The sequence below is a fragment of the Homo sapiens genome, chromosome 3 (genome assembly GCF_000001405.40).
Source record: "Homo sapiens chromosome 3, GRCh38.p14 Primary Assembly".
NCBI classification, from domain to species: domain Eukaryota; kingdom Metazoa; phylum Chordata; class Mammalia; order Primates; family Hominidae; genus Homo; species Homo sapiens.
Genome location: NC_000003.12, coordinates 32,432,736 through 32,456,007, shown reverse-complemented (window position 1 = coordinate 32,456,007; position 23,272 = coordinate 32,432,736). Strand labels below are relative to the sequence as shown.

Sequence of the window (23,272 nt, the reverse complement as noted above, 5' to 3'; positions counted from 1 at the left end):
ACCAGACAGTTTTTGGGAGGTCACAGAAACCCCAGTTTCTAAAAAGGCCCTGTGGTCTCAAACAGCCACCCCTCAGCCAAGCCACTGGCTGCATGGTCCACTGCTCGCTGTCTGTGGAGGCCTCACTTGGCTCTGCGTTTTGCTTTCCTTCCTCACTGAGCAGACTCTGGCTCCTGCTACTATTCCTCCAACTGTCCTCCACCCACCTTTGCCCTCCTAGGGGGATGCTCAAATGGTCAAACCCGGATCCTCGTTGCTTGGCGAGGCCTGCATTGTCACTACACAGGCAGGGGGCTCCCAGACCCAATGCCTCACCTGGACCGTGCCCTCCTCAGCTGAGACTCCTCCATTCCATTGCCCTGGAGGAGCCGACTGTGCCAGGGTCAGCTCAGCCATGTTCCCGCTCCAGCCCAGCTGGTACACAGGATCCCCTCCCATCAGCAGCACTCGGCTCCAGATACACCACGGGTGCTGCTTCCTTAGATCATCCCAGACAGAACCCGATGCCCCGAGCTGGCCAGCAGCCACAAGAGTAGCCCCAGAGCTCCAGCTCAAAGCCCACAGGGGCTGCTTCCATTTCCGGCAACACTCAGCAGAGGCAAGGATGGGGCTGGGAGTCAGGCAGACCTAGATCCTGAGCCCAGCTCCTCACTGGCTTGCCCTGTGCCTGGGGATGGAGCCCCGATTTCATTTCTAAAAATGTGGTCCTATAACCTGCCCCCTTGCAGTCACTACCATCGCTATTAGATGTGGTTGTGAATGTAGGTCCTTGCACACGGGGTTGCTCAAACATTGTTCCATCCCTCCTTTTTCTAGCCAACTGAGCAGCTCAAGATCAGCGAAACAGCACATTTAGGCCGAGATCATTAATCATCATAGTGTAAACACAACCCTTAGCTTGCTCTAAAGCTCTTTCCAAAATGAGAAGATTGGTATTGCAGGAGAAGGAGGACGTGAATATAATTGAGAACCTGCACATGTTTACCTAAAACTCTGCCCTGCTATACTATCCCCCAAGATGGAGAGAAAACCTGAAGTCCAGCAGTTCAGCAAGGGGCACACACAGAGCACGGGTGGAGGGCCATGGGCCAGACACAAGCTCGAATGGAAACTGTTTCAGGCCAGGTTTTACAGCCTTCATCTGGTTCAATAAGAAATCCTTGTGCAACTGGCCGAGTCAATATTTTATTAAAAAACACACAAACACATGCACACTGGTAACAAAGGCAGAGATGGAGAGGAGACACAAGATCTCCTTGGGGACAGGCTGACCACATAGTGTTTCTACAGGCACGCCTCACTTCAGGAAAGAGGGTATCTCTAAGACCGGACTGACAAGCTAGATAAATTAGGACAGGGCTTTGTTTCTTAAGGCACTTCACTCCCCTGAGGAGTGAAGTAGAAGGGATTTAGGCGGGAGTATTCACAAACCCCTTCAGCTGTGCTAAGTGGGGTTCATCAGTACCTGAGGTGGTTCTAGAAGCAGGAAGGCAGAAAACATTTCCCTGGAGGCTGCTTTCCTTTCCCAGAATGGGAGGGATGTTCTCCCCGGAAGGCTGGAGGAAGAGTTTCCGGCTGGCTCAGGAGCTCAGGGAGCTGGCTTCCTGGGAGAGCAGGAAGAGGGTGCAGGCCTTTCCTGGTGCCCACCAGCCTGACAGGACTTTGGCACAGGAACACAGGTCCAGAGGCCTCGCCTGGAGTACACGTCCTCCTCTCTGCAAAGCTCCTGAGGGGCCTAGGGGTTGTGGCCTCATCAGACGGCTGCATCTTGGGAAGGAAATGGCAGTCAGGACAGCTTGCCAGGGATGTGGCCCACCCACAAGCCACACTCCACAGGTTTGACTCCAAGTTCTGCTCAGGGGGGCACCTGTGTCCTCCACCCAGTGCCGACTTGCACTGAGATTATTCCATTTTTTAAAAATACATTTCCAAACAAGGAAAAAACTTCGGTAGTGCAGAGGTGACTCCCATCCGCACTCCCCCGACCTCAGTCTTACTCCTCAGCAGCAACCTCCCAAGCCTTTTAGCCATTTCTTTTGGTGATTCTTCCATAATTCAAAAAACCAATTTATACCAATATTTATAGATTTATCCTGTTAGACACCACCTATTAACTTCTCTTTTCCCCTATATTCTCTACGTTTAAAAATCATTCTTTTTTTTCTTAAACAGCTTTACTGGGATATTTTAATAATTCACATACCATACAATTCTCCCATCTAAAGTGTTTTTCAGTATATTCACAGGACTGTGCAACCACAATTTTAGAGCCTTTTCATCACCTCAAAAAGAAGCCTCATCCTCATTAGCAGTCACACCTGAGTCCTCTCCCAGCAGCCCCAGGCCGCCATGGGTCTACCTTGTGTCTCTATGAATCTGCCTGCTCTAGACGATTCTTATTAGTGGAATCCTACACTACATGGGCTCAGTGTAGGATTCCATGAGTAATGCCCTCAAAGAGGAGGCAAGTTAAATAAACTGCACAGTCATGCGATGGACTTAATGCTGCAACCCACGGAGTTGCTAAGAATTCCTAATGATGTTGGGAAAATGTTTGGTCAGTGGCTAAGTAGGAGAAAAAACATATTATGAAACAGCACATGAAGTTTGATCCTTTTAATAAAAGCAACAGATATATATATTTTCAGAGAGAAAATATCGAAAGGATACTCAGTGCTACTTCTGGGTAGTGTGATGACAGATGGCTTTTTCTTATTTTATTTTATTTTTTAAGAGACGGAGTCTGACTATGTTGCTCAGATTGGTCTCAAACTCCTGGGCTCAGGTGATCCTCTTGCCTCAGCCACCTGAGTAGCTGGTACTATGGGTACACACCACTGTCCCTGGTTCAGACGGTTTCTATTAAACATATTTTTTATCTGTATTTTCTAAAAACCTACATTTTATTTTTGTCATTAGGAAACTTAAGAAAAAGCTGGCTGGGTGCGGTGGTTCATGTCTATAATCCCAGCACTTTCAGAGGCTGAGGTGGGAGGACTGCTTGAGCCCAGGAGTTTGAGACCAGCCTGGGCAACATGGTGAGACTCCAACTCTAAAAAAAAAAAAAAAAAAAAAAAAAAAAAAAAAATTGAAATTAGGCATGGTGGTGCACACCTGTAGTCCCAGGTACTCAGGAGGCTGAGGTTGGAGGATCACTTGAGCCTGGGAGGCGGAGGCTGCAGTGAGCTCTGATCGTACCACTGCACCAGCCTGGACAACAGGGCAAAACCCAATCTCAAAAAAAAAAAAAGAAAAGTAAAGAAAAAGAAAGAAAGGAAGCAAGAAAGAGAAAAAAGCTTGGCCACCCGAGGCTGAAATGTTAGGGCATCCTTGGATGTGTGGAGATGGGAATGTGAGGGGAGATTCTGGGGTCACATCTTCCCCTTTGCTGGCCCCTGTGCTCTAATACTACTTCTAAAGTCCCCTTGGAACACAGCCTTCTCAACAGCAGGGTTTGTCCCTATGGCTGAAGTCAAGAACAAGCCATCCCCCTGTTCCTGAGAGATCCTCTGTGCACAGATAACCAGAACTCACCTGTGGACTGGGTTACACACGAGATCTTATAGGACAGCCATATGCTTGCCATGCAGAGGAAGGTGGCCATGAAACCAAAGATCTGCAGTGGAGAGAGGGGAGAGGAAGTTCACAGGCCATAGGGCTAATTACTCGGGCAATCCTGTCTGCTTCTCATCTCTGTGCTTGTTCCCTTCATGTCTCTGGCCAGAAAGGAGCTTGGAGAGTCATCTAACCCAACCACCTCATCCTGGATCAGGTGCAGAGAGGAAGCCCCGCGAGGCCCAGCCACTGGCCCCAGTCCTCCAGGTTGGGCCAGGTCAGGGCTGGCAGCCAGGCCTCTCGGTCTTCACTCTTGGCAGCTTCAGTGCCTGGTCTGGGTTTACATTTACAAGCAAGCTGGGGCTAAGCCAATGGACTTTGATTATCCTGGACCAAAAGAGAAGAAAAGGATGAAATTTTAATTTGGGTTAAAAAAATCTGAACGTTCCCATGATTTGTGGTGTAGTGGCGTTGTTCGCATTTCATTTGTAATGACTTTCTGTTCCATTCTGGCTTCATAGCCGTATTAGAGCCAGAAGCCGAGGCCTTTACATCTAGGTTTACGTTTGTACATATTAAACAATATTAGACTCAACTAAGTCAAGGCAGCACCCTTTCCCTTTCTCAGGGTCATCCAGCGCTCAAGTGTGAGGAAGGCTGACCTAGCCCAGCCCCCTCACTTGTAGATGAGATTCGGGTGCTGGGAGACGAAGAGTGCCTGTGGGAGGCTCATCAAATGGTCGAGGAAGAGGCAGTAGCTTCTTCTGGAATCTCTGGGCTTTGAAGCCTGCAGCCATTTTCCTTGCTTGTGAACAACACCGGCAGCTGCAGTGGTGAAAACTTACTGACCACTTTACTACATCCCTACCAGGGTGTGAGGCCCTGTGGGTGTATTGATTCCTTTAACCCTCACAACTCTGCTGGGTGGGTGCTAGGATTACCCACCCTGCTCCTCCATTTCACAGCTAAAGAAACAGAGGTACAGGCGGTCATCTGTTTTGCCGAAGGCCACAGAGCCAGCAAGGGCCAGATATGGGATGGGAGCCCAGGGAGCCTGGCTCCAGAGTCCGCACTCTGCAGTACCGGGTGCCTAGGTGTTCTCAGACCCACACAAAGGCCTCCACTTCACTACACCGCCACTGGTGTCCAGTGAGAATGGCGCAGGGGCAGCTAAGGGTAGGATTTTCAACAAGGTTTGGTTTTCTTTTCAAGCCCAGATGCTGCTTTACATAAACAGCTGCCCCCACCAGCCCACATCCACTTCTTCCCCGGGTTTCTTTTCCTGGGCTCCTTTTGTACCAATTGTCTACAGCACATAATTAGCCTATTAGAGCCTGTCCCGGCCTCTCATTGTCTGTTCTGCACAATTAGCACGTTATATACCATCCCGGTCCCCAACTGTCTGCACTGCATAATTGAACAGTTTATTATATCGCTACAGAATGCTATTCTAGACTACAACGCCTTGTTTACTAATTGTTTCATGTGTCTTGTCTCCTAAGCTAGATGACCACTTTCTTATAAGCAGGGACCATATTTTAAAAATTTCTTCTAACTTCCTCATAGCCCAGGTTTGGTCCTAGGCACACAGACAGCATATGATGAATGTTAGCTATAGAGATTCCAGGGCTAAACAGTTATGTGCAACCTGAATTACTAAACACAGTGGGAATCTCCTCAAGTGGGCCCGGAAACACAGTGGGCACAGGTCTCCTGTGTGCCTCTTCCAGTACCCTGCACTGTAGCTGGGCAGGTGTTAAGCTTCAGGGGGCAACCATCCCTCTCTTCAGAGACAGCAGAGAGAGGGGGCAGAGAGGTGTGATGGTGGGCTGTGGGAGGGCCATGTGGAGCATCAGTGTTGGGAGGTTTGGCCACCCTCTACAGTGACCTTCTGCCCCCATGCTGACCTTCAGAGGAGAGACTCCATCCCTCAGTGGAATTCCAGGAGCCAACCCACTCCCAGGCCAAAGTCTGGAAAATTTTGGTAATATACGTAAGTGAAAGACAATGAATGTCACATACAGAGAGAGCTTTTCTTTTTCTCTTTTTCTTTTTTTAAGACACAGGGTCTCAGTACGTTGCCCAGGCCAGACCGAACTCCTGGGCACAAGCATTCCTGCCGAGTGCCTGGGACTACAGGTGCATGCTAGCTACCACATCTGGCTTGAGAGAGCTTTTCTCAAAACTCATTTTTAAAATCTTGTCTGCTCATCAGTGAAGCAAATCAGTGTTGGCCCACAGGCCACTGAACTATAAATAGTTAGCTAAATCAGAAATCAGATGACAGGAATCTATGAATCTTTAAAAAAATAGCATATACATCTGTATGTATATACATATATATGTATGTATATATCTCACAGGACTGTATTTTTGTATATTTCCATCTACTTCTATTTATGGCTATCAGATGGATCAATTTTTGCCTCTGAAAGATACAGGAGTATTATTTCCTGGCCTGAATACTGTTAAAAATCAGGAATGGCAAAGCTCAGGCTCATGGCATGTATCTCTAATTGATCACAGTACATTTCCCACTGGGCCCAAAAGAGGCTCCAGCATCTGTCTCTGCATAGTGCTGAGGCAGCCAACGAGCAAATGATCAGAGTGGGTGTGTGAATTAAAACCCGCCTGGCCCCCTGATTTCAGTAGTGCCTGTAAGAGAGAGAGGCCTGGGCTGCTGGGGTCTATGAATTTGCTGGCAGCCCTGACAATCCACCTTCTGGGACTGTACGCCTCTGCTTAAGGCTCTTTGGAGAGAGCTGATGGCTGGATCAAGGTAGGTATTGATTCTATGAAGGGAATGCCCCAGAAACCAAGCCCTTCTCTTCCCCCATCAGGAAGAAAATGAGCATTTTAAATAAGAATTCATTCCTAAAGGCTCCCCAAAACATCCTCACCGCTCCGGCTACCAGTCCGCTCTGGTTGTAACTCTTGGAAGCTGCCACAATGGAGGCGATGAGGAGGAGCAGGGTACCGATTAAATAGTGCAGAAGTTCCTGGGGGCAGAAACAAAGCAAATAAGTGGGTAGGGCCGTCCATTTCTGGTCCGGGAAGAGCAACTGGGCATCAGAAGACATGAAAAGAAAGGGAGAGAGTGACGCTTCCTCTTCTCCCTTGCAACACGCAAATGGGATGAGCAGAGCCGCTCGCAGGCAGCCAACATGCGGGCTGACCAGGAAGAGGCCAAGCAAGACAGAAGTGATGCCGGGCAGGCAGGAAGGGAAGAGGACAGAGAGAAAGGAAGCTTCTGGTGTGAGCAGAGATAGCCACTAAGGACTCCTCTACTCCTGAGAGCAATCTGTGGACAGTGCCTTAACCTCTGGCTAAAGCTACTAAAAAGCAAACGAGCTTCTTGCAACTTCCCGGCTGGAGAGTTTAAACAAAGCTCCAGCTCGGAGAAGCAAAGTACCTTAAAGAGATATTTGCCTTTCTCTTCTGCTTCGGAGAAAGTTCTGGGCTAACAATGTGCTGGTCTTGTGTGACTGATGGGAGTGTCAGCCCACTCTGTGAATGGCCCCAAGTGTGGACTTGAGAGGTATTCATTCCCAGGGTCCCGTCAGACTCAGACTCTAGAATGAGGTCAGTGGCACTTCTGTGAAGTGCCTGTGGATGTGTGGTGGCAGCTGGCTTTCTCACTCCTGAGCCTTCCTGCCTTTTTTTTTTTTTTTCCTGTCATTCCCTCTTCTCTTTTCTCCAGAAGAGTGCCCTCCCGGCCAAGCTCTGCCAATGAATCCACTGGCAGGACTGGTTCCACCTTTGCTTCTCGCCTTGGCCCATGGGCCATGCATTTCCACCCCACTCACTCATCATGATTAATCAGCATCCTTGCAGGCCCTGGATGAGATGGGCCTTTCAGTGGCGAGGGAAAGCTTCCATCTCACCCTTTCTCTTCCCCATTAAACATCAGATCCGAGAAGAACTGAGGCTGGGGGCCACTTCCAGTGCTTGCTCTGAATCCAGGGTGCATCCATTTTCAGTTGTCTTCAATGAGAATCTAGAAATCATTCCTTCATGAAGTTCTGCCCCTTAGGGCAGGCAGCTATTAAATTTTGGAAAAGCATTCCAATTTAAAGCTGTAGCTCCTCTCAAAGCTATGTAAAATCAAAGACCCTGGTTTCTCCCTTAGTGACTAGAAAGGAATATCACAAGATAGATCACAGAGATTTTAACTGAAGAACAGATGAGTAACTGCAAGTTCCCCACCTCCAAGATTCTCAACTATTAAGACAGAGGAGGATGACATGGGGCAGAGAAAACCAACTTGAGAGAATCCTAACCGGAAGTACTTAAATAGTATCTCAGCCAAAAATGTGTGGCTGAGTCTGTCCTTCCAACTTTCACTCCTCATGCAGCCCACTCTTGTGCTTGTCCCTGAGCTTTTGTTCTCTCCTTTGCTTGTTCAGTATCTGCATCAGGTAAGCCCCAGAGGAATTTGTTCTCAAAAGAAGCAGAAAAAAATGCCATAACTTTGAAAGGGGCCTTAGAACTTAGAAACACAAAAGAAATTTCTCTCAAAATAACAGTGGGTAATAGTGTTAAGTGTGAACAATTAAACAATCTAATCAAGATGCAGAGGTGGTCAGATTGGATTAAAAAACCAAAGCAAAACGAGAAATAACTACAGTATGTGCTGTCTATGGGAGAGAGACTTTATATTCAAAGATAAGGAAATGGCACGCAAACAACAACCAAAAGAAAGCCAGGGTGTCTACACTGCATCAGACAAAATAGAATCGAACACAAAAAAAAGTTACTAGAAATAAAGAGGGACATTTTATAACAATGAAAAGCTGAATCCGTAAGTAAGATATAACAATTATAAACGTATATGCACCTAATAAAAGAGCCAAAACACATGAAGTGAAAAATGAGAAAAATGAAGGAGAAAAACAGACAATTCAAAAATAATAGTTGGAGAATTCAATATCCCTACTTTCAGCAATGTATAGAACAACCAGGTAGAAGGTCAACAAGGAAATAGAAGATTCAAACAACACCATAAAATGACTAGACCTAAAAATCCTCTATAAAAACTCTATCCAGCAAAAGTATAATATACAAATATACAATGTATAAAAGTACATTCTTCTCAGATGTACACAGAACATTGTCCAGGATAGACGATATATCAGACCATAAAACAAACTTCAATAAAGGTAAGAAGGACTACAAAATATGTTCTCTGAACACAATGGAATCAAATTAGAAATCAAGAGCAGAGGGAAATCAGGGAAATATATAGAGATTAAACAACATATTCCTAAATAATGAATGGATCAAAGAAAAAAAATCATAAGAGAAATCAGAAAATACCTGGAGATGTATGAAAATGAAGACACAATATACCAAAATTATGGAATACAAGTAAAACAGTTATCAGAGGGAGATTTATAGCTGTAAATGCCAATATTAAAGGAGAAGGAAGGTCTCAAATTAGATGATGACCTTCCACATCATCTTAGTCTGTTTTGCGTTGTTTTAATAAAGGAATACCCAAGGCTGGGCAACAAATAAAGAAAAGAGGTTTATTTGCCTCATGGTTCTGTAGGCTGTACAAGAAGCATGGCACCTGTATCTGCTTCTGGTGAGGGCTTCAGGGAGCTTCTACTTTCTGAAGCAAAGGTGAAGGTGAGCAGGCATCACACAGCCAAGAGGAAGGAAGCAAGAGAGAGGGGAGGAAGGTGCCAGCCTCTCTTTAATAATCAGTTCTCATGGGAACTAACAGAGCAAGAACTCACTTATTACCACTAGAACAGCACCAAGTCATTCACAAGGGATCTGCCCCCATGATCCAAACACCTCCCACTAGGCCCCACCTCCAACACTGGGAATCAAATTTTAACATGAGATTTGGAGGGGACAGATATCCAAACTATATTATACATTAAGACACTAGGAAAAGAAGATCAAACTAAACCTAAGGCAAGAAGAGGAAAGAAAAAAAATAAAGATTAAAGCAACATTTATTAAGATAATAGGAAAACAATAAAAAAATCAATGAAACCAAAAGCTGGTTCTTGAAAAGATCAACAAGATTGACAAATCTTCAGCTAGATTGATCAAAGAGAAAGAGAGAGAGAAGATGCAAACGAAAGAGGAAACATTACTACTGCACTTACAGAAATAAAAAGAATGTAAGAAATACAATAAACAATTGCATGCCAATAAATTCAATGACTTAGATGAAATGGACAAATTCCTAGACATATATACTACTAAAATTGACTCCAGAATAAATGATGCAATCTGAAAAGATGGTAAAATTAGAGTTCGAATTAACAATAAAAAAAATTACCCACAAGAAAAGCTGAGACCCAGTGTCACTGCTAAATTCTACCAAATAGTTAAGGAATAATTAATACCAATTCTGCACAAACTCTTTCAAAAGATAAAAAAGGAGGGAATATTTCCTAAATTATTCTGTGAGGCCAGTATTAACTTGATACCAGAACCAGATGGACATCAGAAAAAAAGAGAACTACAGACCAATATCTCTTTTAAATACAGATGCAAAAAATCCTCAACAAAATATTAGCAAACTGAATATACCAGCATATAAAATGGGTTATACATTATGGCCAAATGGAATTTACCCCAGGAATGCAAGGTTGGCCCAACATATACAAACAAACCAGGCCAGGTGTGGGGGCTCATGCCTGTAATCGCCACACTTTCAGAGGCCGAGGAAGGAGGATCACTTGAGCCCAAGAGTTCAAGACCAGCCTGGGCAACATAGGGAGACCTTATCTCTACCAAAAACAAAAAAAAAATTAGCCAGGCATGGTGGTGCACACTTGTGGTCCCAGCTACTCAAGAGGCTGAGGTGGGAGGATCGCTTGAGCCTGAGAAATAAAGGCTGCAGTGAGCCATAATTATACCACTGCACTCCAGCCTGGATGATAGACCAAGATCCTGTCTAAAAAAACAAAACAAAAAAAACAAAAAACAATGTAAGACACCATACTAATAATGGGAGAAAAACTCATCACCTCAGTAGATACGGAAAAAGCATTTGACAAAATCTAATACTCTTTTATGATAAAAACACTCAACAAAGTAATGCTAGAAGGGAACTTCAACTTGATAAAGGGCTTCTACAAAACACTCACACCCAATGTTATATTTAATGATGAAAGAAGGAATGCTTTCCTCCTAACATGAGGAAAAAGATAATGATGGCTGCTCTGCCATTTCTATTCAATATTTGTCTAATTTAGTCAACTAATTTCTTGCAATAAGGCAAGACAATGAAATAAATGGCATCCAGATTATAAAGGAAGAAGTAAAAATATCTCTATTTGCAGATCATGTTTACAGAATATCCTATGGAATCCACTAAAAATATATTAGAAAAATATATTAGAACTACTAAGTAGTTCAGCACAGTTGAGGACACAAATCAATATGCAAAAAGTAATTGGATTCCTATGCACTTGCAATGAACAATCTGGAAATAAAATTAAGAAAAAAATTGATTTAAAATAGCATCAAAAAGAATAAAATGCTCAGACACAAATTTAATTTAAAAAGTTCAGGCCAGGCACAGTGGCTCATGCCTGTAGTCCCAGCATTTTGGGAGGCTGAGGCAAGAGGATTGCTTGAGCCCAGGAGTTTGAGGATGCAGGGAGCTATGATCTTGCCACTGCACTCCAGCCTGGGTAACAGAGCAAGAACCTGTTTCAAACAAAGCAACAAACAAAAAACACTTTTACTCTGAAAACTACAAAACATTGAAAGAAATAACAGATTATCTAAAAAAATGGAAAAACTTCCCATGTTCATGGATAAGACAATATTATTAGGATAGCAATATTCTCCAAATTGATCTATGGATTCAACATAATTCCTATTATAATCCCAGCTGATTTTTGTAGAAATTGAAAACCCGATTCTAAAATTCACATGGAATTGTAACGATCCAAATCAATCCTAAAAAAGAAGAATAATTGGGAGGCTGCATATTTGCTAGTTTTACAACTTACTACAAGGCTACAGTAATCAAAATAGTGTGATAATGGCATAACGACAGACACATAGATCAATGGAATAGAATTGAGAGTCCAGAACTAAATCCATGTATTTAATGGTCAACTGATTTCAACAAGGGTGCCAATGCCATTCAATGGGGGAAAGAATAGTCTTTTCAACATATGATGCTGGGATAATTGGATATCTACATGCAATAGAATGAAATTGAACCCTTACCTCACACCCTATGCAAAAAACATTAACTCAAAATGGATCAAATACCTAAATGTATAAACTAAAACTATAAAACTCTTGGAAGAAAACATAGAAGTAAATTTTCACAATCTGAATTTGGAAATGGCTTCTTATATGTAAGAAAAGCGTGAGCTAAAAAAGAAAAAAAATAAATAAACTAAATTTATCAAAATTAAAAACTTGTGCTTTAAAGGACACCATCAAAAAAGTGAAAAACATCAGAATGGGAGAAAATATTTTCAAGTCATATAGCTGATAAGGGACTTTTATCCAGACTATAGAAGGAATTCTCACAACTCAATAATGAAAAGACAAATAACCTAATTAAAAAATAGGCAAAGGACTCGAATAGACATTTCTTCAAAGAAAATATACAAATGGCCAAAAGCACATGAAAAGATGATTAACATCATTAGTCACTGGAGAAATGAAAATCAAAACCACAGGAAATAACACTTTACACTCACTAGAATGGCTGGAATCAGAAAGTCAGATAATAAGTGTTGGCAAAGATGTTGTGAAACTGGAACCTTCATACACTCCTGGTGGGAATGTAAAACAGTGAGCCACTTTGGCATACAGTCTGGCGGTTCCTCAAACAATTAAACACAAAGTGACCATATGACTCAGTAATTCCCCTCCTAGATACATACCAGAGAAAAATGAAAATATGTCCACACAAAAAACTTGTATATGAATGCTCATAGCAGCATTATTCATAATAGCCAAAAGGTAAAAACAACCCAAAGGTCCACTGAAGATGAATGAAAAACAAAATGCAGTCTGGTCTATCCACACAATGGAATAAAATTTGGTTATAAAAAGGCTGGCATGGTGGCTCATGTCTGTAATCCCAGCACTTTGGGAGGCCAAAGTGGGAGGATTGCTTAAGGCCAGGAGTTTGAAACCAGCCTGGGCAACACAATGAAACCTCATCTCTGTAAAAAAAAAAACACAAAAATTATCCAGGTGTGGTGGCATGCACCTGTAGTCTCAGCTACTCGGGAGGCTGAGGTGGGAAGATCACCTGAGCCTGGGAGGTTGAGGCTGCAGTGAGTCGCGATCACGTCACTGCACTCTAGCCTGGGTGACAGAGTGAGACCCTGTCTCTAAAAAGAAAAAAAGGAATGAAATACTGATACCTGCTACAACATGGATGAACCATGAAAACATTCAGCTAAGTGAAAGATGCCAGTTACAAAAGACCACATATACAATTCCATTTACATGAGACGTTCAGAGTAGAAAAATTTTAGAGACAGAAGATTAGTGATTGCTTAGGACTGGAGGGATGAGTGGTAGGGAGGTGACAGCTAAAAGGTATGGAATTTCTTTCTGAAATGATGAAAATGTTCTCAAGTTGACTGTAGTAATGGTTGGACAACTCTGGAAATATACTAAACTCCATTGAATTGTACCCTTGAAATGGGTGAACAATACGGCATATGAACTGCATCTCAATGAAGCTTTAAAAAATAATACAGTGGGAAGAAAAAGTCTGGCAACTTCTGACTGTCTCCTCAGCCCCCACTAGTCTCTTTTAGCCAGAAAATCCTATCATTCAATCCTCACAACAGCATCAATACCCATCATCTTCACCTACAATTTCCTTCCGTGTTCCTTTTCCCAACTCATACACACACAGCCATTCTCTGTTGCTTGAGAAAGTAAGCATGGGGCAATAGCCACAGCCTTCTTCTTTTTTTTTTTTTTTTTTTTTTTTTTTTTGAGAGGAGTCTCGCTCTGTCACCCAGGCTGGAGTGCAGTGGCTCGATCTCGGCTCACTGCAAGCTCCGCCTCCCGGGTTCACGCCATTCTCCTGCCTCAGCCTCTCTGAGTAGCTGGGACTACAGGCACCCGCCACCACGCCCGGCTGATTTTTTGTATTTTTTAGTAGAGACGGGGTTTCACCGTGGTCTCGAACTCCTGACCTCGTGATCCGCCCGCCTCAGCCTCCCAAAGTGCTGGGATTACCAGCGTGAGCCACCGCGCCCGGCCAGCCACAGCCTTCTTGTAGCTGGAAAGTGAGTTTTAAAAACCAGCAGGACATCAAGCAGAGATGTCCACCAAACAATAGGAAATTCAGGGCAGAGGCAGCAAAGAATGGTTAAAGAGGTGAGATGGGCAGACGGGAAAAACTCTGTCAGGTCTCAGTACTCTAGCTAACATCCTGACTTGTGCATGCGGAGGACAGGGCCAGACCACTCTCTTACCGACAGGGGCCAGCTGATACAGGTGAGCACGCGGTAGAAGCGGAAGAGGTGGACCAGGTAAAAGGCGAGGATCATTATCAAGTCGCAAATGGTGACCACTTCAAAGTAGCTGTAGGCGCTGTAGTTGGTCCACAGGGAGCTCCGCACACAGATGAAGGCAATCAGCAGGGTGACCTGCCACATAAATAGAGACATCAGAGAAATGCTTGCCCAAGACGGGCACCCAGGGAACAAACAACGGAAAACAACCAAGCATCCCCCAGCAGGCCCACATTGAAGAACTGCTATTAATACAATTCAGGTTATTTCCATACACACTGGCTGGAAGGTTGGAAGACTGCAACTTCATGTGGTACACACTTTGAAACTACTGTCTGTGAACACTGATGACAGCAGAGACTGACTTCGTCCTCTCTGAAGTTTGTTAGATTGTGCCAGCGGGAAGCCCCCTCAGAAGAAGCAGGAAAACAAGAAAATAACAAAGCAGAACCATCCCTTTCATCTGCTGGATATCCATAGAGCAAAGAGGACAGCGTGATGGTGACCTGGGGTTTACATATTAGGCCCAATTGTACGAAGTTGCCAATATTTGATGGTTTTTGACCTACAAAGATGGTAATTCATACCTTACAGCTATCAACTGACAGATAACAAGTTACCATTTACTGATGTCTGACATACGTGATCTCGCTAAGGCCATGCAGAACCCTGCCAGGTAGACAAAATCATCCCCATGTTCATAAGGGGAAACGGAGGCATGCAGGTTCAATCATCAGTCCAAGGCTATCTGGCTTGTAAGCAGAAGTGGGATTTGAATCCAGGTCTGTCTGACTCTAAGGACCATGTTCCTCCATGTCAGATGCAGTTCTACCTCCCAAAAGTGTAAGCTCTGATCATAACAAGCCGAGAAAGGTGGACGGGTTCTCAACCATGCAGGAATCCTGTTTAAGAGGTGAGGCTGCTCACCATCAGGGCATGTGGTGAGAGCTCACTAAGAAATATCTCAGCACGAGTGAACATGCTTAACGGCCTGCTACTGAATTAATAACCAGATGAAAACTATTAGCAATGCATGAGTACAAGAAAGTAGAATGAGTAACAGTCTGAGCTTCCGTGAAGGCCAAAGAGAAAACCTGTCTACTCCATGTAGGGAACAAACCAGTAACACACGGGATTCAATGTGTGTAAAATCTTAGAATCTACTTATTTATTTAGTTATTTAGTTTTTGTTTTTCTGAGATAGAGTCTGGCTCTGTTCCCCAGGCAGGAGTGCAGTGAACCAATCTCAGCTCACTGCAACCTCTGCTTCCTGGGCTCAAGTCATCCTCCCACCTTAGCTTCTCAAGTAGCTAGGATTACAGGCGTGTGCCATCATGCCTGGCTAATTTTCATATTTGTAGTAGAGACGGGGTTTTGCCATGTGGCCCAGGCTGGTTTCAAACTCCTGAGCTCAAGCAATCCCCCTGCCTTGGCCTCCCAAAGTGCTGGGATTATGGACGTAAGCCATTGTTTCCAGCCAGGAATCTATTTAAAATGCACAACCAATTTAGAAAAAAGATTATTTTATACACTGCCTCTCTCCTATGGAGGAGTGATTCTTTTTTTTTTGAGATGGAGTCTCACTCTGTTGCCCAGGCTGGAGTGCAGTAGCATGATCTTGGCTCACTGCAACTCTGCCTACGAGATTCAAGCGATTCTCTTGCCTCAGCCTCCAGAGTAGCTGGGACTACAGGTATGCACCACCATGCCCAGCTAATTTTTGCATTTTTAGTAGAGAGGGGGTTCCACCATGTTGGCCAGACTGGTCTTAAACTCCTGAACTCAAGTAATCTGCCTGCCCCAGCTCCCCAAAGTGCTGTGATTACAGGTGTGAGCCACCACGCCTGGCCAGAGCAGCGAGTCTTAAAGTGTGTGTGTGTGTGTGTGTGTGTGTGTGTGTGTGTATGCGTGTGGTGTTAGTGTATGGGTGTGTTAGCGTATGGGTATATGATTTTGTGTCCTATGGGACATTTGGCAATGTGTGTATATATTTTTGGTTTACACAATTTGCGGGGATGGGGGTTGCTACTGGCATTTAGTGGGTAGAGGCCCAGGGTGCTGCTAAGCACCCTGCAATAAATAGGAGAGCTCCCATAGTAAAGAGTTACCCATCTCCAGCCCCAAATGTGGCCCCTCAACTACAGTACTACTGTTGAAAAATTCTGCTATAGAAAATGTCAGTCTACAATGAGAATTAAATCACAAAATGGGGCCTGGTGCATGCCTGGCATCCCAGGCTCACGCCTGCAATCCCAGCACTTTGGGAGGCCAAGGCGGGTGGATCACCTGAAGCCAGGAGTTTGAGACCAGCCTGGGCAACAAGCAAGACCCTGTCTCTACAAAAAATACAAAAACTAGCTGGGCGTGGTGGCATGCACCTGTGGTCTCAGCAACTTGGGAGGCTGAGGTGGGAGGATCAATTGAGCCTAGGAGGTTGAGGTTGCAGTGAGCTATTATCACGTCACTGCACTCCAGCCTGCAAGACAGAGTGAAAGTCTGTCTCTAAAAAAATAAAAATCAAATCAAATCACAAAATGGATCTTACTCCAGTTAAAACAGTTGATGCTGAAATGCTCTTATTTTCTAAAGCCCCTTGTTGCTAGCCCACTATCAAGATCCTCAGCAATAGGTACAACAGCTAAAAGAGAACTCTCAGCTGGAAGCTTGAAGCAGGTATGGAGAGTGCTCTGCTTACCAGATCGAAACAGAAGAGTGTGGCTGTGACACAAAGAGTCCCTCAACATTTGTGTATTTCCCTTTGCTAATGAGCAACGCAAGTGTTTTCATTTTTTCGGTTCCTCTGAAGCTAGCCAGCCATGGTGATATAATGATTCACACCTCTGCCTTACTCAGGAGTGTGCATGATCGCCAGGGCTTTGCTGCTACGTTAGTCTTACTTCCAGGCCACATCTACATGGGGAAGTCTAGGGGTCTTCCCAGCCCCACAATGACCTCCTCAAGAACTCAAGTATCATTATTCAAGGCATGACTGAAAATGCAGATAATGTGGGATTATGCAGCGTGATTCCTAGGTAGAGAGGCAATTTTGCATCTAGTTTAATGCAGAGATTAAAATAATTTTCCAACTCGTCGTTGAAGACAAAGTTAGCTCTTTTTCATGGTGACACAGGGATGTGGAAGTTTCCCAGCCAACAAAAGGGGCCTGTGCAGGTCAGGTCTTCCTGCTCTGAGCCTCCAGGGCTGAGTACTGTGTAGTAGGAAGTACATTCCTGCTCTATCAGAAACATCTCGAACCTTTCTGGGAAACTTGCTCATGAAATAACACTTTCTGAATTCGGTTCACTGGGCCTATGGCCATCTACCATATGACTTTCTTTAGGAAAGCCCAATTTTAGAAAATCTAATTTAGCCAGAGTATGGTGTGTGCTTATGCGTGCTCCTAAAAGCTTCCTTTTTGCCCAGGGATTCATTCATTCCAACTTTAAATAGCCAGCATCTTAGCCAGCATATTAAGTTAAAAAAAAAAAAAAGATTTGACTGACATCAAACTTTTCAGAAATTCTTCTAAAGCCAGTAGGTAACTTCTGCAAATGCTGGGGCCCCCTGAATTATTTAGAAGCTTAATTCCTGGGTGACAAAATAATCTGTACAACAACCCCCTCCCATGACACAAGTTTACCATATAAGAAACCTACACAAGTACCCCTGAACTTAATATACAAGTTAAAAAAGAAAGCAAAGGTGAAGTGGAAGAAAGAACAAGACAATAGTGGGGAAAAGGCGCTGGGGTGTTTATCCCTGCCCTCCTCCCGCCAGCTCCAACCCTCTCAGGTGTCTTCGTGTTCCCAGTTAGAAAAGCAAATGCACAAACACGCCTGAATTCAGAGAGGACTGGAGGTAGGGGTTCTGACTTCAGGACGGAGTGAAGCAGCTGGGAGGCTCCTGGAAGACAGATGTTTCTGTGTAGAGTAACTTCAAAGTGATGCTGTCCAAAGGGTTCACTTGCCTCTTAAGGTGCCTTCTAGCTCCTCTCGTAACGGTTTGTTCTTTTATATTGAACTGTCATAAAAATAAAATATCTAACATAAATGTCCAGGGGTTTATTTTATTTATTTTATTTTTTTGAGATGGAGTCTCACTCTGTCGCTAGGCAGGAGTGCAGTGGCAACATCTCAGCTCACTGCAACCTCCACCTCCCTGGTTCAAGGGATTCTCCTACCTCAGCCTCACAAGTAGCTGGGATTACATGTATGCGCCACCATGCCCAGCTAATTTTTGTATTTTTAGTAGAGACAGGGTTTCACCATGTTGGCCAGGAGAGTCTCGATCTCCTGACCTTGCGATCTGCATGCCTTGGCCTCCCAAAGTGTCGAGAGTACAGGCGTGAGCCACCGCGCCCGGCCTATTTTTTTCTTTTGAGACAGAGTCTCACTCTGTCACCCAGGCTGGAGTGCAGTGGCGCTATCCCCACTCACTGCAACCTCTGCCTTCTGGGTTCAAGCGATTCTCCTGCCTCAGCTTCCTGAGTAGCTGGGACTACAGGTGTGCACCACCACGGCCGGCTAATTTTTATATTTTTAGTAGAGACAGGGTTTCACCATATTGGTCAGGCTGGTCTCGAACTCCTGACCTCAAGTGATCCACCCGTCTCAGCCTCCCAAAGTGCTGGGATTACAGGTGTGAGCCACGGTGCCCAGCCATGTCCAGGGGTTTAAAAGTAACACTGCAAGAGCCCTCAACTCAAAGCAAGGGTCCCACAGACCAGCCATGATACCACAGAATCACTGGAATTAGAATTCCAGATAAGAAACATCACTCCCTGGAACCTGTGTCCTTTCTGACTCCATTCTGTCAGAATTCTTACTAGAAAGAAGACATGATTTTTTGGAAGGAGCAGAGGGTTTAAATTTCACAAGAGATGAAGGAAGCTGACATGATCTGAGAAAAGTGATGGTCCCCTGAGGACTCTGGAACCAAACTAGTCTGGTTGCAGCTTGAGTGTACACCCGCAACCAGCCAGGTGCCAGAAAGTTTGCCCAGGTTCTCAGCCTGGCTGAGCATCCTTCCAGAAAGAAATGAGATTTTGAGGTCTACGATGAAAAATCTCTACAGAAAACTCAAGAGGCAGTTTTCAAGAGACGTCGGCTTCTGATTGGGCTGGGGAGGTGTCTGGTGGTCTCAGGACCCTGTCTCCTGCCACCCATGCTTGGGAACATTTCCTCAGCAGACCTGAGCCCTCGTGCCTCTGCCAAGTCTGGTCCACTGAGTGTGCCTGTGTCTGGCTAAAGATGGCACCAGACACCTTTCCTTTTGGAAGCCCTGGACTGGATGCTGGTAGGTCACCCAACCCCACTGTCCCTGCATCTGACCTTGGAATGATACTTCAGTGAGAGAAAGCAGGAGCAGGAGAAGTAACTGATGAAAGCTAACATCAAAAGCCTCAGACCCAACTCTAAGAGGCTTTCCAGGAAATCCCCAGGAGATGAAAGCCAGGCTTGTTCAGAAAGTCAGAGATGCAGATGAGGATGCAGTGCCTGGAACCTGCATTTGTAAATGTTAGTGGGCCCATAAATGACTGCTTGGCAGTGGCAGACAGGAAGAGGAATGTGGTATGCTCCCAACTTTGGCTGAATTTTGCACTGAGTGTAAGGAGATTCACCCGTGCCTCCCTGTTAAAGTCACCATCATCTAATAGCCTTTGTGCAATCTCATTGACACCCACTGGCTGAGAAACCTGCCCCATGGCTTCCTCTAGGTCCTGTCTCACTCACCAACATCAGAATCTTGCTCCAGAGTCCTGCCCATGCTCCTATTCCCCCCAGCACATAGTTTTGTTTTGTATCTATAAATGAAAATGCCATAGAAACCCAAGGGAGGGAGAATAATCTAGGAAATATGTCCGGGGTCCTGAGCTCCAGGCCTTGGGCAGCTCAATGATGCACCACTGGTTTCTGAATGTAACTGCACAGCAGAGTCACCTGTTTGCAGCATACCGAAAACCAGATTCTATGTTTGTCCATGCTGGGGGTAATTCTGGAAGGACACATAGGAAGCTGGTAACAGCACTTGCCTCTGGGGAGGGGAAGTGATATTTAGTAGTTTTAAAATCCACTTGTTTTGTTTTCTTATATTGTAAGAATCACATATTAAGTTTCAAAAAAGCAGTTTTAAAATGATACATCTTAGAGATCTTTAATGTCATACAAATATAATTTTACCTTTTTCTTTTCATTGGCTATATAGTATTCCCCAGTATGGCAGTGGCTTTATTTAACCCAGGGTTTCTCAACCTTGGCATTACTGACATTCGGGGCTGGATAATTCTTTGTTGTAGGTGGCTGTCCTATAGGTGGTCTTATCACAGCATCCTGGCCTTTACCTACGAGATGCCAGCCTTTACCCACTGCCCACTTACAACAACCAAAAATGTCTCTAGACATTGCTGTAGGTCCCCTGGGGGGCAAAATTGCCTCTGGTGGAGAATGACCTACTTAATCTTTTATTGGTGGGCATTCAGCACATCTCCAGTTTTTCATTAATACAAACAGCGCTGCAAAGAATTAGATGTACTTCTTTGTATCTGTATGAATATTTCTTTCTTTTTTCTTTTGAGATGGAGTCTCTCCCAGTCGCCCAGGCTGGAGTGCAGTGGCACAAGCTCCGCTCACTGCAAGCTCTGCCTGCCGGGTTCACACCATTCTCCTGCCTCAGCCTCCCGTGTAGCTGGGACTACAAGCATGCACCACCACGCCCGGCTAATTTTTTTGTATTTGTAGTAGAGATGGGGTTTCACCGTGTTGGCCAGGATGGTCTCGATCTCCTGACCTCGTGATCCACCCGCCTCGGCCTCCCAAAGTGTTGAGATTACAGGCGTGAGCCACCGTGCCTGGTCTCTGTATGAATATTTCTGATAGACTCCTAGAAGTGAAATTACTGAGTGAAAGCATATGCACGTTTAAGATTTTGTTGTTTATTACCAAAATGTTATCCAAAAGAGATACCTGTCTCCCTCCACAGGGAATCTTGCCAACACAGATTAACAGTATTTAAAAAGAATGGAAATAGTATCGTACTATTTAAATTTTCATTTCCTTAATTACTAGTGGATTGGATATCTTTTCATATGTTTATTGGCTACTGCCTTTTCACGTTCTTGGCCTAATTTTCTATTGCTTCCATTTTTATTATGGATTCAAAGAACTCTTTATATTCTAAATACTAACTTACTTAGTCTCTTATAGACATTGCAAATATATTCTCTCCATCTCTCATTTGCCTTTATTTTTAGTCTTTTGTTTGACTAAAGTTAAAAGTTTTTATACAGTCAAATCTATGCATCATTTTTTATAGTTTCTGGGTTTTGTGTCTTGTTTTCTATCTCAAAATTACTTAAAAAAAAAAAAAAAAGAAAAGAAAAGAGGCAATAGGTGTAATCTCAGTGCTTTGGGAGGCCAAGACAGGCAGGAGGATTACTTGAAGCCAAGGGTTCGAGACCAGCCTGGGCAACATAGTGAGACCCGCATCTCTACAAAAAAAAAAAATTTTTAAAATTGGCCAGGCATGGTGGTATGCACCTGTAGTCCCAGCTACTCAGGAGGCCGAGGCTGGAGGATCACCTGAGCCTAGGAGTTAGAGGTTGCAGTAAGCTGTGATTGGGCCACTGCACTCCAGCCTGGGTGACGAAGTGAGAACCTAATTCATAAATAAGTAAAATAGTCCCCTACATTAAAAATAAATATTTGCTTCCTTTAAAAATATACATACAATTTTTAGTTCTTTAGTCATCTGGGATTTATTTTTGTATTATTATTGTTATTATTTTTTGAGACGGAGCTTCACTCTTGTTGCCCAGGCTGGAGTTTAATGGCATGATCTCGGCTCACTGCAACCTCTGCCTCCCAGGTTCAAGTAATTCTCCCACCTCAGCCTCCCACGTAGCTCGGATTACAGGCACCCACCACCAGGCCCAGCTATTTTTTTTGTATTTTAGTAGAGATAGGATTTCACCACGTTGGCCAGGCTGATCTCAAACTCCTGACCTCAGGTGATTCACCCGCCTCGGCCTCCCAAAATGCTGGAATTATAGGTGTGAGCCACTGCGCCCAGCCTGGGATTTATTTTTGTAGATGGCATGAACTAGGGCAAATAGTAGGGTTCTGATTGTATCCAATCAGTCAATCGATTGTATTAACCTATCTTCTGGACAGCTCACTTTTTCCCCATTGGTTGAAATGCCAACTTCAACACTGGGTGAATGAATGGTTCCTGGGCTCATCCTGCCATCCTCTGTGACAGCTCCATGACACTCTTGCATTTAAAAAGCCCATCTCCTTCCTTCACTGGTCTGTAGGCCTTTAGGAGAGAACCATGCTGTGTTTTTGCCAAACATCAATTAGGGACCCAGCACAAGGTCCCTTGTGACCAGGAGAAGAGGTGACTTTTGGAGGCTGCCCTCAGAACATCTTTACACTTGGTAGAATGTACTCATCAAATGCCCCCGGAGGGTGCCATTCAGGCTCTCCAGGCAGACTACCAGGGTGTGGCTGTGATGTAGGGATTCAGGTTCCAGATTCTTGGCTCGTGATGGGGCCAGAACATTCTCTGCTTGTTATTCAAGCCAGGCCATGTTCTTTTCATCCCCAACCGATTTCTCACAACAGGTGCAGCCCAGACCGATGGTCTGTACCACAATCACATCACTGATTCACCACCGTACTTCACTGGCAAAGGTCATCAGGATCACATTTAGAAAGTTCGGGCTAGAAAGCTCAACTTGTCAAAAATGTCACTGCATCCAAAAGGGCAAGAAGCAAAATTGACACTTATTGTGTAGCAAACCTGGTGGTTTGGTGCTTGTGTTGAACTGAACTGAAATCACAAATTTTGGTTTGCAACAAGCAATGGTTTTTCTCTAGCTTGTTTCTCTTTCAGTGTCTGACGCAATTTCCTGGTTTCTTTTGGGGCTGACTAAATTTCAAGACTGCAAAAAGAGCATTTTCTGCTGCTCACTCTTGTCATCACTACAGGAGGACATAATTCTTTAGATAGGCATGGGAGCGAAAGGACGGGGCTGTGGACGGTCATCTCCACAAGAAAATCCCTGGAGGAGTAGGTCATCAGAGGGGACCAAGGGCAGCTGACACAATGTGGGGATGGCACAGGGCATTGAGGGTTGAACCCCAAAGAGAAGGGTATCTGCTATGGCTATCAGCATGAATCCTAGGATGACAAGAAGAGCAAAAGTAATCACTAACCCTGATTGTACGCTCACCGTGCAC

At 44.4% G+C, this 23,272-nt stretch overlaps 1 protein-coding gene across 2 annotated transcripts in view, besides 4 other annotated features; it reads right to left on the bottom strand.

Annotated features, from left to right (window-relative positions):
- Nucleotides 62-131: a silencer, noted in NCBI's record as "silent region_14170". NCBI's record gives its function as "represses an Ori minimal core promoter by ATAC-STARR-seq in GM12878 lymphoblastoid cells {active_cell/tissue: GM12878}" and the evidence as "EXISTENCE:reporter gene assay evidence [ECO:0000049][PMID:35858748]".
- CMTM7 (CKLF like MARVEL transmembrane domain containing 7) overlaps nucleotides 480-23,272 on the bottom strand; it is a 63,676-nt gene continuing 40,883 nt past the window's right edge. The window contains exons 2-5 of one of the 2 annotated variants that reach the window (NM_138410.4): nucleotides 13,995-14,168; nucleotides 6,456-6,554; nucleotides 3,535-3,616; nucleotides 480-1,767 (exon numbers count right to left, since the gene is read on the bottom strand). In NM_138410.4, the coding sequence (NP_612419.1) occupies nucleotides 1,754-1,767; nucleotides 3,535-3,616; nucleotides 6,456-6,554; nucleotides 13,995-14,168 (369 nt within the window). In that variant the 3' untranslated portion in view covers nucleotides 480-1,753. The remainder of the gene's footprint in view (nucleotides 1,768-3,534; nucleotides 3,617-6,455; nucleotides 6,555-13,994; nucleotides 14,169-23,272) is intronic. The other variant, NM_181472.3, reaches the window with a different exon arrangement.
- Nucleotides 1,778-2,278: an enhancer, noted in NCBI's record as "H3K27ac hESC enhancer chr3:32495222-32495722 (GRCh37/hg19 assembly coordinates)". NCBI's record gives its function as "activates a minimal SCP1, AML or CMV promoter by ChIP-STARR-seq in primed H9 embryonic stem cells {active_cell/tissue: H9 hESC(primed)}" and the evidence as "EXISTENCE:reporter gene assay evidence [ECO:0000049][PMID:30033119]".
- Nucleotides 12,157-12,451: a silencer, noted in NCBI's record as "tiled region #14110; K562 Repressive non-DNase unmatched - State 22:ReprW". NCBI's record gives its function as "represses a minimal TATA promoter and a strong SV40 promoter by Sharpr-MPRA in K562 cells {active_cell/tissue: K562}" and the evidence as "EXISTENCE:reporter gene assay evidence [ECO:0000049][PMID:27701403]".
- Nucleotides 18,712-19,393: an enhancer, noted in NCBI's record as "H3K27ac-H3K4me1 hESC enhancer chr3:32478107-32478788 (GRCh37/hg19 assembly coordinates)". NCBI's record gives its function as "activates a minimal SCP1, AML or CMV promoter by ChIP-STARR-seq in naive H9 embryonic stem cells {active_cell/tissue: H9 hESC(naive)}" and the evidence as "EXISTENCE:reporter gene assay evidence [ECO:0000049][PMID:30033119]".